We start from the raw sequence: 13,020 nt of genomic DNA on the forward strand, positions 1-13,020 counted from the left end.
TTACACAAATAGATCGTTAGTACTGTAGGGAGTTGAAGTTTACTCAATCACTACAAGAGCCACGGCTTTCAGAGCTTCTGACCATGACCCAGTGTAAGAAATACACTTTTATTATGACCCAATGCACACATCCATAACTGAAGCAAAACTTCCATGGTATAAGTACTCCCACCTTGGCTCATTACTAGCTATCAACCTCATGTCACAGAATCACTGAACATGAGTTGGGAAGAGGTGTGTACAATCAGCTGTCAGCACACAACTGCTACACACACACACACACACACACAATAACAACAATGATTAAGAAACTGCTGAACAGAAGGTGTTGCAAATAACATATTTTGGGAAACTATCTAAATCGCAGAGCTTGTAAATCAGGGGGAAGAGTCTATGTGTAATACCTGAATGTTTTCTTTGCAGAAGTCTGTTGGAAGCCTATTTCAGCAAAACATCCTCTCTTGTAAGTTAATCTTCTGTTCGTAATATTCTAAGAAAGGTGGTTCCTCTATTTTATTTATTTATTGATCTTATTTTACTTTATTTTTTGAGACAGAGTCTCACTCTGTTGCCCAGGCTGGAGCGCAATGGCGTGATCTCGGCTGGTCCAACATTCGCCTCCCGGGTTCAAGCGATTCTCCTGTCTCAGCCTCCTGACTAGCTGGGATTACAGGAGCACGCCACTAGGCCCGGCTAAATTTTGTATTTTTAGTAGAGATGGGGTTTCACCCTGTTGGTCAGGCTGGTCTCTAACTCCTGACCTCATGATTCACCCACCTCGGCCTCCCAAAGTGCTGGGATTACAGGCGTGAGCCACCGCGCCCAGCCTCCTCTATTTTAATCTCTGCCTTCTTTGATTCCTCTGTCAGAAACATTGTGCTTCAGCCAGATGATATTTTCTTTGGAAGCAGTTTTTATAAAACAGTAAAAATTAAGTCCGATACACTATAAAATGAAAGGTGAAGGGTGTGTGTGTGTGTGTAAATTCACATGACTCCAGGTATTCTAAACAATTGAATGATCATTAGTAGTTTTCCCTTAAGCCTTAAAATTATTTTGGAAATAAAAGAATCATATTGCTACATAACAAACCGCCCTAAAAGTCAATGGCATTCAACAATAAGCATTTATTTCTCACACAATTGAGGATTAGCTGCAGGGACCATCTGCCTACTCTTGTCTGTGGAGCAGTTGGGGGCCCCACTCTGAGCTGGGTTTGGTTTGGGCAGCTTTGTTTCAGATACCCCAAATCCATCTCTTGGGACCACAGGGCTAGACTGAAGAAACCATGCTGCTTATAACAATGGAAACGTTCAAGAGAGCAGGAGGAAATTGTAAAGATCCCTGGAGGGCATCACTTTTGTGTCTTTCTATTAGCCAAAGCAAGTCACTCCCTATCTCCTACCACAGTGAGAGGGCAGTGCAAAATTACACGGCAAAGGTAATTGTTCCAAGGAGAAGGGAAGAATTGGGGCTTGTGGAAGGCTGAATAATGCACTCCAAAAATCTCTACATCCTAATCTCTGGAACCTGTGAATTTACTTTAGGTTTGCAAAAGAGATTAAATTAAGGATGGGGAGATTATCCTGGATTTTCTGGATGGGCCCAGTGTAATCCCAAGGGTCCTTCTAAGAGGGAGACAGGAGATCAGAGTTAGAAGTAGTACGTGGGGTGACAGAAGCAGGAAGAAAAGGCAACATGATGTGAGGTCATGAGCCAAGGAATGAGAACAGCCTGCAGAAGATGGAAAAGGCAAGGAAGCAGAATCTTCTCTGAAGCTTCAAGAATGAATGCAGCCCTGCCAACACCTTGATTTCAGGCTTCTGATATCCAGAAATATAAGAGAATAAGTTTTTTGTTGCCTTAAATGTAAACCAAATAGTATCCACTAGGTTTGTGGTAATTTTGTTACCGTAGCAATAGAAAACTAGTACAGATTGTGGTATCAGGAAGTGGGGTGCTGTTGCAACAAATGCCTGCACATGTGGAAGTGGAACTGGAATTGGGTAGAAAGGCCTAGTTTGCACTGAACAGACTGTTGGTAGAAAAATGGATGTTAAAGACTCTGCCGGTGAGGACTCCGGAGGAAATGAGGAACATTATTGGAAACTAGAGGAAAGGGGATCCTGTAACACAGTGTGTCCGGAATTGGTGGGTTCTTGGTCTCACTGACTTCAAGAATGAAGCCGTGGACCCTCGCGGTGAGCGTTACAGTTCTTAAAGGCAGCATGTCCGGAGTTTGTTCCTTCTGATGTTCGGATGCGTTCAGAGTTTCTTCCTTCTGGTGGGTTGGTGGTCTCGCTGGCTCACGAGTGAAGCTGCAAACCTTCGCAGTGAGTGTTACAGCTCTTCAGGCAGCACGTCTGGAGTTGTTCGTTCCTCCCGGTGGGTTCGTGGTCTCGCTGGCTTCGGGAGTGAAGCTGCAGACCTTCGTGGTGAATGTTACAGCTCATAAAGGTAGCGTGGACCCAAAGTCTGAGCAGCAGCAAGATTTATTGAAAAGTGCAAAAAAACAAAGCTCTCACAGTGTGGAAGAAGACCTGAGCGGGTTGCCACTGCTGGCTCAGGCACCCTGCTTTTATTGTCCTATCTGGCCCCACCCACATCCTGCTGATTGGTCCATTTTACAGAGAGCCGAGTGGTCTGTTTTGACAGGGCGCTGATTGGTGCATTTACAATCCCTGAGCTAGACCCAAAAGTTCTCCACGTCCCCACTAGATTAGCTAGATACAGAGTGTGGACACAAAGGTTCTCCAAGTCCCCACCAGAGTAGCTAGATACAGAGTGTCGATTGGTGCATTCACAAACCCTGAGCTAGACACAGGGTGCTGAATGGTGTGTTTACAAACCTTGAGCTAGATACAGAGTGCTGATTGGTGTATTTACAATCCCTTAGTTAGACATAAAGGTTCTCCAAGTCCCCACCAGAGTCAGAAACCCAGCTGGCTTCACCCAGTGGATCCTGCAGCGGGGCGGCAGGTGGAGCTGCCTGCCAGTCCTGCGCTGTGCACCCGCACTCCTTAGCCCTTGGGTGGTGGATGGGACTGGGTGCCGTGGAGCAGGGGGCTGCGCTCGTCGGGGAGGCTGGGGCCACACAGGAGTCCACAGAGGAGGGGGAGGCTCAGGCATGGTGGACTGCAGGTCCCGAGCCCTGCCCCCCAGGGAGGCAGCTAAGGCCGGGCGAGAAATCGAGTGCAGCGCTGGTGGGCCGGCACTGCTGGGGTACCCAGCACACCCTCTGCAGCCTCTGGCCCAGGTGCTAAGCCCCTCATTGCCCAGGGCCAGCAGGGCCGGCCTGCCGGCAGCTCGGGAGTGCGGGCCGCCAAGCCCACGCCCACCCAGAACTCTAGCTGGCCCGCAAGCTCCACGGGCAGCCCTGGTTCCCGCTAGCGCCTCTCCCTCCACACCTCCCCGCAAGCTGAGGGAGCCGGCTTAGGCCTCGGCCAGCCCACGAAGGGGCTCCCACAGTGCAGCGGCGGGCTGAAGTGCTCCTCAAGTGCTGCCAAAGTGGGAGCCCAGGCAGAGGAGGCGCCGAGAGCGAGCGAGGGCTGTGAGGGCTGCCAGCACGCTGTCACCTCTCAGTAGTGGCAGGAAGGGTTAGCAGAACCATGTTATATATTTATGTGGAATGAGGAACTTGTCAACCACGTACTTGGGTATTTAGCTGAGGATAGCGCCAAGCAAAGTATTGAAGGTACAACCTGGCTTATTCTTTTATAACTTACAGCAAATGTCAGAAGAAGGAGATAAATTGAGGAAAGGACTGCTGAGCTAAAGGAACCAGGATTTAATGATTTTGTAAATTCTCAGCCTGTCCAGATTACAAAAAAGGATAAAATTAGGAGATTTACTGTCAGGAAAGTGTGTTCTAGAGAGAAAGCCACAAGTATGGCTTTTTTTTTTTTTTTTTTTCTTGAGACAGTATCTTACTCTGTGGCCCAGGCTGGATTGCCATGGTGCAATCATGGCTCACTGCATTCTCAAACACCTGGGCTCAAGCGATACTCCTGCCTCAGCCACCCAAGTAGCTGGGACTACAGGCACATGCCACCATGCCCAGTTACTTTAAAAATTTTTTTTGTAGAGATGATGTCTCACTATGTTGCCCAGGCTGATCTTGAGCTCCTGATCTCAAGTGATCTTCCTGCCTCAGCTTCTCAAAGTGCTAGAATTATAGGCGTAAGCCACCACACCTGGCCTGGACAACATTTTGCTAGTGTCTGAGAAGAAACAAAATGTCACAGTATTCTGTCACACAGAGAGCTCTTTGAAGAGATTAAGTACATGACTCATGGATTCTTTCAGCCATCTCATGGGACTATCTAGGAAAGATCTGTGGAAGAGCCTCTTATCTAATGGAGTGAATCCCTGTGACATACATAGGAGACCCACAAGATTCTTGATGATGTTATACTAGCAGCAACACTGCCAGCTTAGCCAGAAAGGGACAAAAAGAAGACAAAAATTTTAAAAGGTTGTTGGACTCCCAAAATTATACAGACAGGAAACAGGCTGATAAAACTACTTAGATGGGCCAGGCACGATGGCTCATGCCCGTAATCCCAGCATTGTGGGAGGCCGTGGTGGGTGGATTGCTTGAGGTCAGGAGTTCAAGACCAGCCTGGATAACATGGTAAAACCCTGCCTCTACTAAAAATACAAAAATTAGCTGGGCATGGTGGTGCATGCCTGTAGTCCCAGCTACTCAGGAGGCTGAGGCAGGAGAATCGCTTGAACCCAGGAGGTGGAGGTTCAGTGCACTGAGATCATGCCACTGCACTCCAGCCTGCATGACAAAGCGAGACTCCATCTCAAAAACAAAAACAAACAAACAAGAAAAAAACGTACTTGGATGAAAACATGTGCACTCTTCATGAAAAAGGAAGTATGATTCAGAGGCTAGAGCTTCAGGCTCAAAGTGTTGAGCCAGGCCGGGCGCGGTGGCTCACGCCTGTAATCCCAGCACTTTGGGAGGCCGAGGCGGGCGGATCACGAGGTCAGGAGATCGAGACCATCCCGGCTAAAACGGTGAAACCCCGTCTCTACTAAAAATACAAAAAATTAGCCGGGCGTAGTGGCGGGCGCCTGTAGTCCCAGCTACTTGGGAGGCTGAGGCAGGAGAATGGCGTGAACCCGGGAGGCGGAGCTTGCAGTGAGCCGAGATCCCGCCACTGCACTCCAGCCTGGGTGACAGAGCGAGACTCCGTCTCAAAAAAAAAAAAAAAAAAAAAAAAAAAGTGTTGAGCCAAGAGCCACAGAGGATTAATCTCAGTTTTTGAAATGGAGTTTTCACAGTTGGATTTCAAAATTGCTTGGGACTGGAGACTCCTTTCTTCCTTCCATTTTCGCCTTCTTGAATACGAATGTCTGTAAGTGTTATCCTGTGCCTGTCTCACTAGTGTATTTTAGGAGTAGATAACTTATTTTCTAGTTTTATGGGTCCACTGACAGAGAGGAATTTTTCCCCAAGATGGATCGTACTCAGAGTCTTACCCATTTTTTATTTAGATAATTTAGATGAATAAATTTGGGGTTTTTGAAATAGTAATATTCAAAGAGAATTTGAACTTTGAATTGATGTTATGATAGGTTGAGACTTTTGGGGATATTGAGAAGGGGCGAATGTAGCTTGACATGGAATGGATGTGAATCTTTGGGATTCAGAGGGCAGATGGTGGTAAGCTAAATAATGATCCCCCAAAGATGTTCCCAACATAATCCCTGGATCTTGTGAACATTACTTTATATGGCAAAAAAGGACTTTGCACATGGTTGCCAAGGGTCTTAAAATGGGGAGATTATCCTGGATTATCTAGGCAGACCCTAAATATATCACAAGAATCCTTATAAGAGGGCAAGAAGGGCCAGGTGCAGTGGCTCATGCCTGTAATCCCAGCACTTTGGGAGGCTGAGGCAGGTGGATCACGAAGTCAGGAGTTTGAGACCAGCCTGGCCAACATAGTGAAACCCCATCTCTACTAAAATTACAAAAAGTTAGCCAAGTGTGGCAGCACGCACCTGTAATCCCAGCTACTCAGGAGGCTGAGACAGGAAAATTGCTTGTACCCAGGAGGCAGAGAGATTGCAGTGAGCCGAGACTGCTCCATTGCATTCCAGCCTGGGCTGGACTCTGTGAGACTCTGACAAAAAAAAAAAAAAAAAAAATGCAGGAAGAGAGCCAAAATGTGATGACAAAAGCAGAGATTTGGCCGGGCACAGTGGCTCATGCCTGTAATCCCAGCACTTTGGGAGGTGGAGGTGGCAGATCACCTAAGGTCAGGAGTTCAAGACCAGCCTGGCCAACATGGTAAAACCCCATCTCTACAAAAATACAGAAATTAGCCGGGCATGATGGTGGGTGCCTGTAATCCCAGCTACTCAGAAGGCTGAGGCAGAATTGCTTGAACCTGGCAGGCAGAGGTTGCAGTGAGCTGAGATTGCACCACTGCACTCTAGCCTGGGCGACAGAGCAAAACTCCATCTCAAAAAAAAAAAAAGGCAGAGATTGGAGAGATGCTGCCTGGATCCAGTGAGTACCACAGCTCTAGAAATTAGAAGAAGCAAGGAATAGATTCTCCCTTATGGTCTCCAGAAAAGACTTAGGTCTGCTGACAATTTTTATTCCTTTAGACTCATTCTAGACTTCTGACTTCCAGAATTGTGAAATAATGAATTTGTCTTATTTTTAGTTGTTATGTTTGAAGTAATTTGCTACAGCAGCAATTGAGAACTAATACAGGGTCATTAATACAATCTTCTGTAGAAATAAACCTTGCTCCCCTGTTTTTACATATAAAAATTATCTTAAGCATTATCATTATTTTTAAAATAGGCAGTTTGTGAACATTTGACATTCTCAAATGTGAGTTGACCTTGTACTGGACCAATCTGTCTTCCAAAAGAAAGCATCTTTAAGTTAAAAATAAAAGTCAGTGAGTAATTGGATTGGAAATGCAGAAACGTTTATTATAAGCAACAGTAACAACAGTTAGTTGAAAGGTTATGTGTGATGGAATAACAACTATTAATATGAGAGTATTGGAAGTCACTGAAGGGGATTTTGTAGTTACAAGTGCCCCCTCCCCCCTCCTCAGTCTTGCTGGAGAGAGGCTGGGGAGTCCACATCATAAACATAGAAACAGTGGGGAAGGAGAGAGGAGAAAGGGAAGAGCTGGAGATCTATGGAACTAGATGCTCTGGAGCAACTGTACCATGTGATCAGTGCAGCTTATATAGAAAGGGAAAGGGGACTTAAAAAATGTATTGCTGTAAGTTATGTACATGTATTTGGATTCTCCTCCAAGTTTGCAAGAAATACAGGGTGAGAATACAAACTGTTTGGAAATTTCTTCTGATTGTTGGAAGGAAGATACATAGTATATATCAGTGGTATTATCTGGGGTCCTTCCTCAAAGGTTACTTGATCATTTAGAAATGTGTTTAGGCTATAGGTGTTAGAAAAGTGGAATAATAATACCATAACAAGTGGGAATTTGTTTCCCTCATTTAACAACAAGCCTGGAGCTACAGAGTTGTAGCGGAATGGTTCTTCAAAGACCCAGGCTCCTTTCATCTTTCCGTACTGCATTATCCAAGTGGCCTTTCAGTTTAGGCTTATACCTTGAGTTTGAAAGATAGCTGTTACAGTTCCAGACTTCATGACCTCATTCAAAGGCAGCAAGTCCAGGGGTGTCCAGGGTAAGCACTTAGCATCTCCTGCATTTGTTTTTAAAGGAAACAAAATATCTTTCCCAGAATCCCTTGGTGGACTTTCCTTTGGCCAGAACTGGGTCGCATGCTGCCTCATCCCCTTGCACTACTAGAGTAGAGCCTGAGGAAGCAAATATCTGGTTTTGCAGACTCCAAAGTAGGATGTAGCAAAGGAAATTGGACTTGCAGTGGCTTTAGGTTGACCGTCCAATGGTGTCTGTCACAAGTATACCCACTCTCTCTTTTACTGGAAGGGCTTGAGGCCAACGCATTTGGAAACTGAGCAAGGGCCACATTTTTTGTTAAGAGGTCTGTCCTCCAGAGAAAAGCCACTACAGAGCTCTCCAAAAATGCTGGCATTCCCCTCACCAGTGGATTCCTCAGCGCTGAGGTGAATATGTTTCTTCTGGGGCATTTTAGAGAACATAGCATTGAGGTAGATAAGTAGGTAACACTTGATACATCTATTAGAGCATTTTCTTAAATTCTTGAATTCTCCCTCCACATAGCAAGGTATCCCTGGCATCTCACTTTCATAAATATAACTTAGCATAGACCTAAAAAGCTCAGACTCTGGAACCAGGTATCTGATTTGAATCCCAGCTGTACCACTTACAAGCTGCATGTGGAAAGTTGTTTAACCTATATATGCCTCAGTTTTCCCTTTTATAAATGAGGATGATACTACCTGTCTCATAGGTTTATTATTATGATTAGATAATTTGATGTATGACAGCACTTTGAAAAGTGCTTGGCACTTAGTAGGGGTTACGTGTATGCCAACTAGCATTATTGTTTACACCAGTCCTCATAAGTCTAGATTTCAGCAGCCAACAAAGCAGATGATTAATACTACTCCCAACTGCCCAAGTGAACACATTGAGTCTAGAACTTTGCTAATGCCTCCATATCAATACATTCAGCCTCATCTAAGGCTATGTTCTTCCTTCCTTGGTCTAGCATTCTCAGAATTTCTCTCCACATGTATTCCCCAGATTTTTGCTTTTATAAATTAGCAGAATCTCACACCTCCTGTGATGGGTAAGTCTTTTCCTTCAGAGTTTGCCTTTCCAATTGGCCTTTTGAGGTGTGCTGGGCTTTCTAGTGAGAGAAAATGAGGAGTATTTGGCACAGGGCATAAAGTTTCAAGGCAACACCCTCAAGCCAGGTCATTAGAGGATCTCAGTCAAAGCAACAAGAACCTCATGACTGCCTTTATTTGGCAAAGGAAGCCAACATAAGGCCTGAGGGGTGTGGAGTACATCAAATTAAGTCATCTAAATTGTCCTATGTAACTCCATGCAATCCTCAGGGTCCTAATGAGTTCTAATCAATGCTTTTGGTTTCAAATAAGAGAGTGGTTAGGCTATGAATGCAAGTGACTTTGTAATTCAGCAATCCAAACGATTAATAGTTGAGTTTTTTTTTCACTTATTTTGGCCTCCACCTGCTAAAAATCAAAAGGTTTTCTGCTTGTCTGTTTCAGAAGTCATAGAAAAGCCCTGGTTTATAGGTACCTTGAGCTGAGAATGTAAGAGTTTCAGCTCATAATTCTCTTTTTTAAAGCTGTTCAGGCTGGGTGCAGTGGCTCATGCCTGTAATCCCAGCACTTTGGGAGGCCAAGGCGGGTGGATCACGAGGTCGGGAGATGGAGACTATCCTGGCTAACATGGTGAAACTCTGTCTCTATTAAAAATACAAAAAATTAGCCAGGCATGGTGGCATGCACCTGTAGTCCCAGCTACTCAGGAGGCTGAGGCAGGAGAATTGCTTGAACCCAGGAGGCAGAGGTTGCAGTGAGCCGAGAGCACGTCACTGCACTCCAACCTGGGTGACAGAGCAAGACTGTCTCAAAAAAAAAAAAAAAGCTATTCAGCTCCATAAAAAACAACCACCTTACTCTCACAGTCTTATTGTGAGAGTCTTTTTCCTAAGTGTTTTTTTGTTGTTGTTTGTTTTTTTTTTTTTTGAGACAGAGTCTTGTTCTGGAATGCAGTGGCCTGATCTCGGCTCACTGCAAGCTCCGCCTCCCAGGTTCATGCCATTCTCCTGTCTCAGCCTCCCAAATAGCTGGGACTACAGGCGCCTGCCACCATGCCCGGCTAATGTTTTGTATTTTTAGTAGAGATGGGGTTTCACCATGTTAGCCAGGATGTTCTCAATTTCCTGACCTTGTGATCCGCCCGCCTCGGCCTCCCAAAGTGCTGGGATTACAGGTGTGAGTCACCGCACCCAGCCTATTCCTAAGTCTTATTGCTCAGTTGTCACTTGGTTACCCAAAAGTTTGATTTCAATGGGTACTTCATTGTAGATGTATACAGTTGATAACAAACTTTTGCCACTGTATACCACAGGCTGCCTGCATCAAAGACCTTTAAAGAAGCCAAGTTTTCAACCCTCAACCTTAATCAGACTAGATAACCTATCCCTGATTTCATCTATTTCCCTTAGGGTCTACGCCTGTTAATTCAAATGTCTGTATCAGTCAGGCTACTTAACCACAAGCAACAGAAAGTTACTGTGACTAATTAAGGAAGATCACTTGAGCCCAGGGGTTCAAGACCAGCCTAGGCAAAATAGAGAGACCCCCATCTCTGTAAAATAATTAAAAAGTTAGCTGGGTATGATGGCCTGCACCTGTAGTCCCAGCTACTTGGGAGGCTGAGGTGGGAGGATCACTTGAGCCTAGAAGGTCGAGGCTGCCAGTGAGCTGTGATCATGCCACTGCACTCCAGCCTGGGCAAAAGAGTGAGAATCTGTCTCAAAAAAAGAGGAAAGAAGAAAGAAGAAGAAGACGGAGGCCAGAGGAATGCACGTAGAAAGAACTCCTAAAATCTGGCAAGGTGAAGATGCTGTCACCTGGATCACTATCTGCCAGGCATCACAGCTTACATCATCCACATTATGGCATCAGCCACTGGGCACTACCACTAGCAATGCTGCCCTAAAAATTTGGTCAGCACCTTTACCATCAGAGGTTTTACCTTGTACCAAGATTACATAGTGGATAATTCCTCAAGCCATTAGAGCTCAGGTCCAGGGCAGAAAAACAATTTCATTTGTTTATTTCACAGACACCAGTTCCAAGACTGAACCACATGGGTCTCAGCTTTATAAGGTTTACATACATAATTGTTATTTTGTTGCTATAATTTTCATGCAATTTGAATAGGTCAAGAAACCTGGTCTATGTAGGGTACCTTAAATATCCCCTTTAATATTTACTGTATTATTCACAGTACTTTCTGCATGGATCTTCCTTTCTTCCTGGTTATCTGGGGTGAGAAGCATGGTGTAATAGAAAGGTTCTGGGCTTTGGAGTCAGGCAAACTTTGGATTCAATCCTGGCTGTGATCCTTATCAACAGTGCCTATCTGTAAGTATATTACTTACCTTTACTAAGTCTTGGCTTCTTTTTCTATGAAATACGTATAGTAAAATCTACTCCATGAATTGTTAAAATGTAATTCACATACAGCTTAGTAAGAGATGCTGAGAAACAATATATAGTTGGCCCTCTGTAAGCATGGATTTGGAGGATCCTAAATCCTCAGATTCAATCAATCACAGATCGAAATCCGCAGATATGGAGGGCTGACTATACTTGATTATATGTAAAAAGCTGTGTTTACTATGCTTATAATTGAGCAATTATTTAAAGTACTATATATGTGACAGACAAATGAAAAGAAATGAAGCAATACAGTTAGAGTAGACTTAGCAATACCAACAAACACTGTTGCATTGTTGTGAAATAGTCCTAAATATCTTTCTTTTTCTAACCTGACACCCATTGTTTGCAAGTGGTGAAAATGCTAAAAATGAATCTCTGTTCACCAGGAATGCACGACCTTGGCCATCAGCTGCCAGGGCTTTCACTATTGAAATCCTGCTATGTTATTTTCTTCCTAAGCTTGTAATGAACGGTCTCTTGAGAGGATGTGATGAAATATACAGCTGCATCCTAATAAGCATCCTTATGTCCATAAACAGTATCCTTTAGCAATTAATAATAAAAATTGTAATCTTAACTGTGGGGAAAACAACTTAGATAGTATTACTTTTTCTTAAACGCATGGCAAGTATATGATTTATATAAATAAATAGACTATGTAATACAAATATGGAAAATGTATATTTGTGTATACAAACGAATTTACTTAATTTCTCTATATACACATATACTTTTTATAAAAAATATCCTGAAACAAAAACCATCTGTAATATCCTCTATAGCAGTGGGTTCATAAAGTTGAAATGATTGATGCCTTTCAGAAATCTCTAGGCAACCAGGTGGTATCATTATTAACCACCCGTGGGAACTTGACTTCAAATCCAATCTATTATGATTAGAATCTACATGATCTGTATCCAGTACAGCAAGTCCCGGCCACCAGATGTCACCATTCTTCTATTTCCCTCCTGGTGCTTGGGGAGAGCTAAAGATACTATTTTCTCTCAAGGGACTGAGGGAAATACGTGCCTCAGAACATTACTGGGATTTCACCAAAAGGTCTTTTCTTAGTCATCCTGGCCTTGCAGATTTCCCTGTGGTTTTTGAGTATCTTGACTCGACAGTTTCTAACAGCTGAGGAGCCAAGTGGCTGATAATTTGGGGCTTATCTGGTCAGGAAGTGCTAGAGCCATTTCCTCCAGCTAAACTTGAAGACAGGATTGACATAAGGTGCCCAAAGCCCAGAGCTTGCTCAGTGCAGGAGAGGCTATGGATATGCCCTATTAAAAGGTCCTGGGGTCAGGAGACCTCAACCAGCTATGAGCTCACTTACAAAATGAAGGAAAGGGACTGAATCATTCCTAGGGTCTAAAAATTCCATGATCCTCGTTTGTAAATGCCTCTGGTGGGGAGGGTGCGTAGTAGGGTGGGGGCGAGCTAAGTCCAAGAAATAAGACCCCAGAGAGGACAACGAAGTAGGGGTGAAGTCCTGCAGGGCAGATGAGGGGAAACTGAACATGAATCCTTATGAGGTCTGGATGTAGTGACTGGTTATGGGGTCTGGAAATTGCTGGGGTTATGGTCTTGTGGATTCTACCACTAGCTCAATAGCCCACTCTTCCTCCATTCCAGATACTACTTAACAAGAAACTATAATGCTTATCGATGTAAATGTATGGCATTCTCTCTCCTGGGGCTTGGTTGGATTTAATCTCTCATGTCAGTCAATGTTCTTTGTGGTGCCTTCAGGGCACGGGATGTGTTTTATTTGTGAATTTACAACAGTGCAGTTTTCAGCTAGCTCGTCCAGAGTGTTCCTAAAATCCGGGAGTGGGAGCAGGGCAGAGAAGAAAGAA

At 44.3% G+C, this 13,020-nt stretch overlaps 3 annotated features.

Annotated features, from left to right (window-relative positions):
* Nucleotides 1,048-1,581: an enhancer, noted in NCBI's record as "OCT4-NANOG hESC enhancer chr2:134864951-134865484 (GRCh37/hg19 assembly coordinates)". NCBI's record gives its function as "activates a minimal SCP1, AML or CMV promoter by ChIP-STARR-seq in naive H9 embryonic stem cells {active_cell/tissue: H9 hESC(naive)}" and the evidence as "EXISTENCE:reporter gene assay evidence [ECO:0000049][PMID:30033119]".
* Nucleotides 2,638-3,299: an enhancer, noted in NCBI's record as "H3K27ac-H3K4me1 hESC enhancer chr2:134866541-134867202 (GRCh37/hg19 assembly coordinates)". NCBI's record gives its function as "activates a minimal SCP1, AML or CMV promoter by ChIP-STARR-seq in naive H9 embryonic stem cells {active_cell/tissue: H9 hESC(naive)}" and the evidence as "EXISTENCE:reporter gene assay evidence [ECO:0000049][PMID:30033119]".
* Nucleotides 3,300-3,959: an enhancer, noted in NCBI's record as "H3K27ac-H3K4me1 hESC enhancer chr2:134867203-134867862 (GRCh37/hg19 assembly coordinates)". NCBI's record gives its function as "activates a minimal SCP1, AML or CMV promoter by ChIP-STARR-seq in naive H9 embryonic stem cells {active_cell/tissue: H9 hESC(naive)}" and the evidence as "EXISTENCE:reporter gene assay evidence [ECO:0000049][PMID:30033119]".

The sequence above is a fragment of the Homo sapiens genome, chromosome 2, assembly GCF_000001405.40.
Source record: "Homo sapiens chromosome 2, GRCh38.p14 Primary Assembly".
NCBI classification, from domain to species: domain Eukaryota; kingdom Metazoa; phylum Chordata; class Mammalia; order Primates; family Hominidae; genus Homo; species Homo sapiens.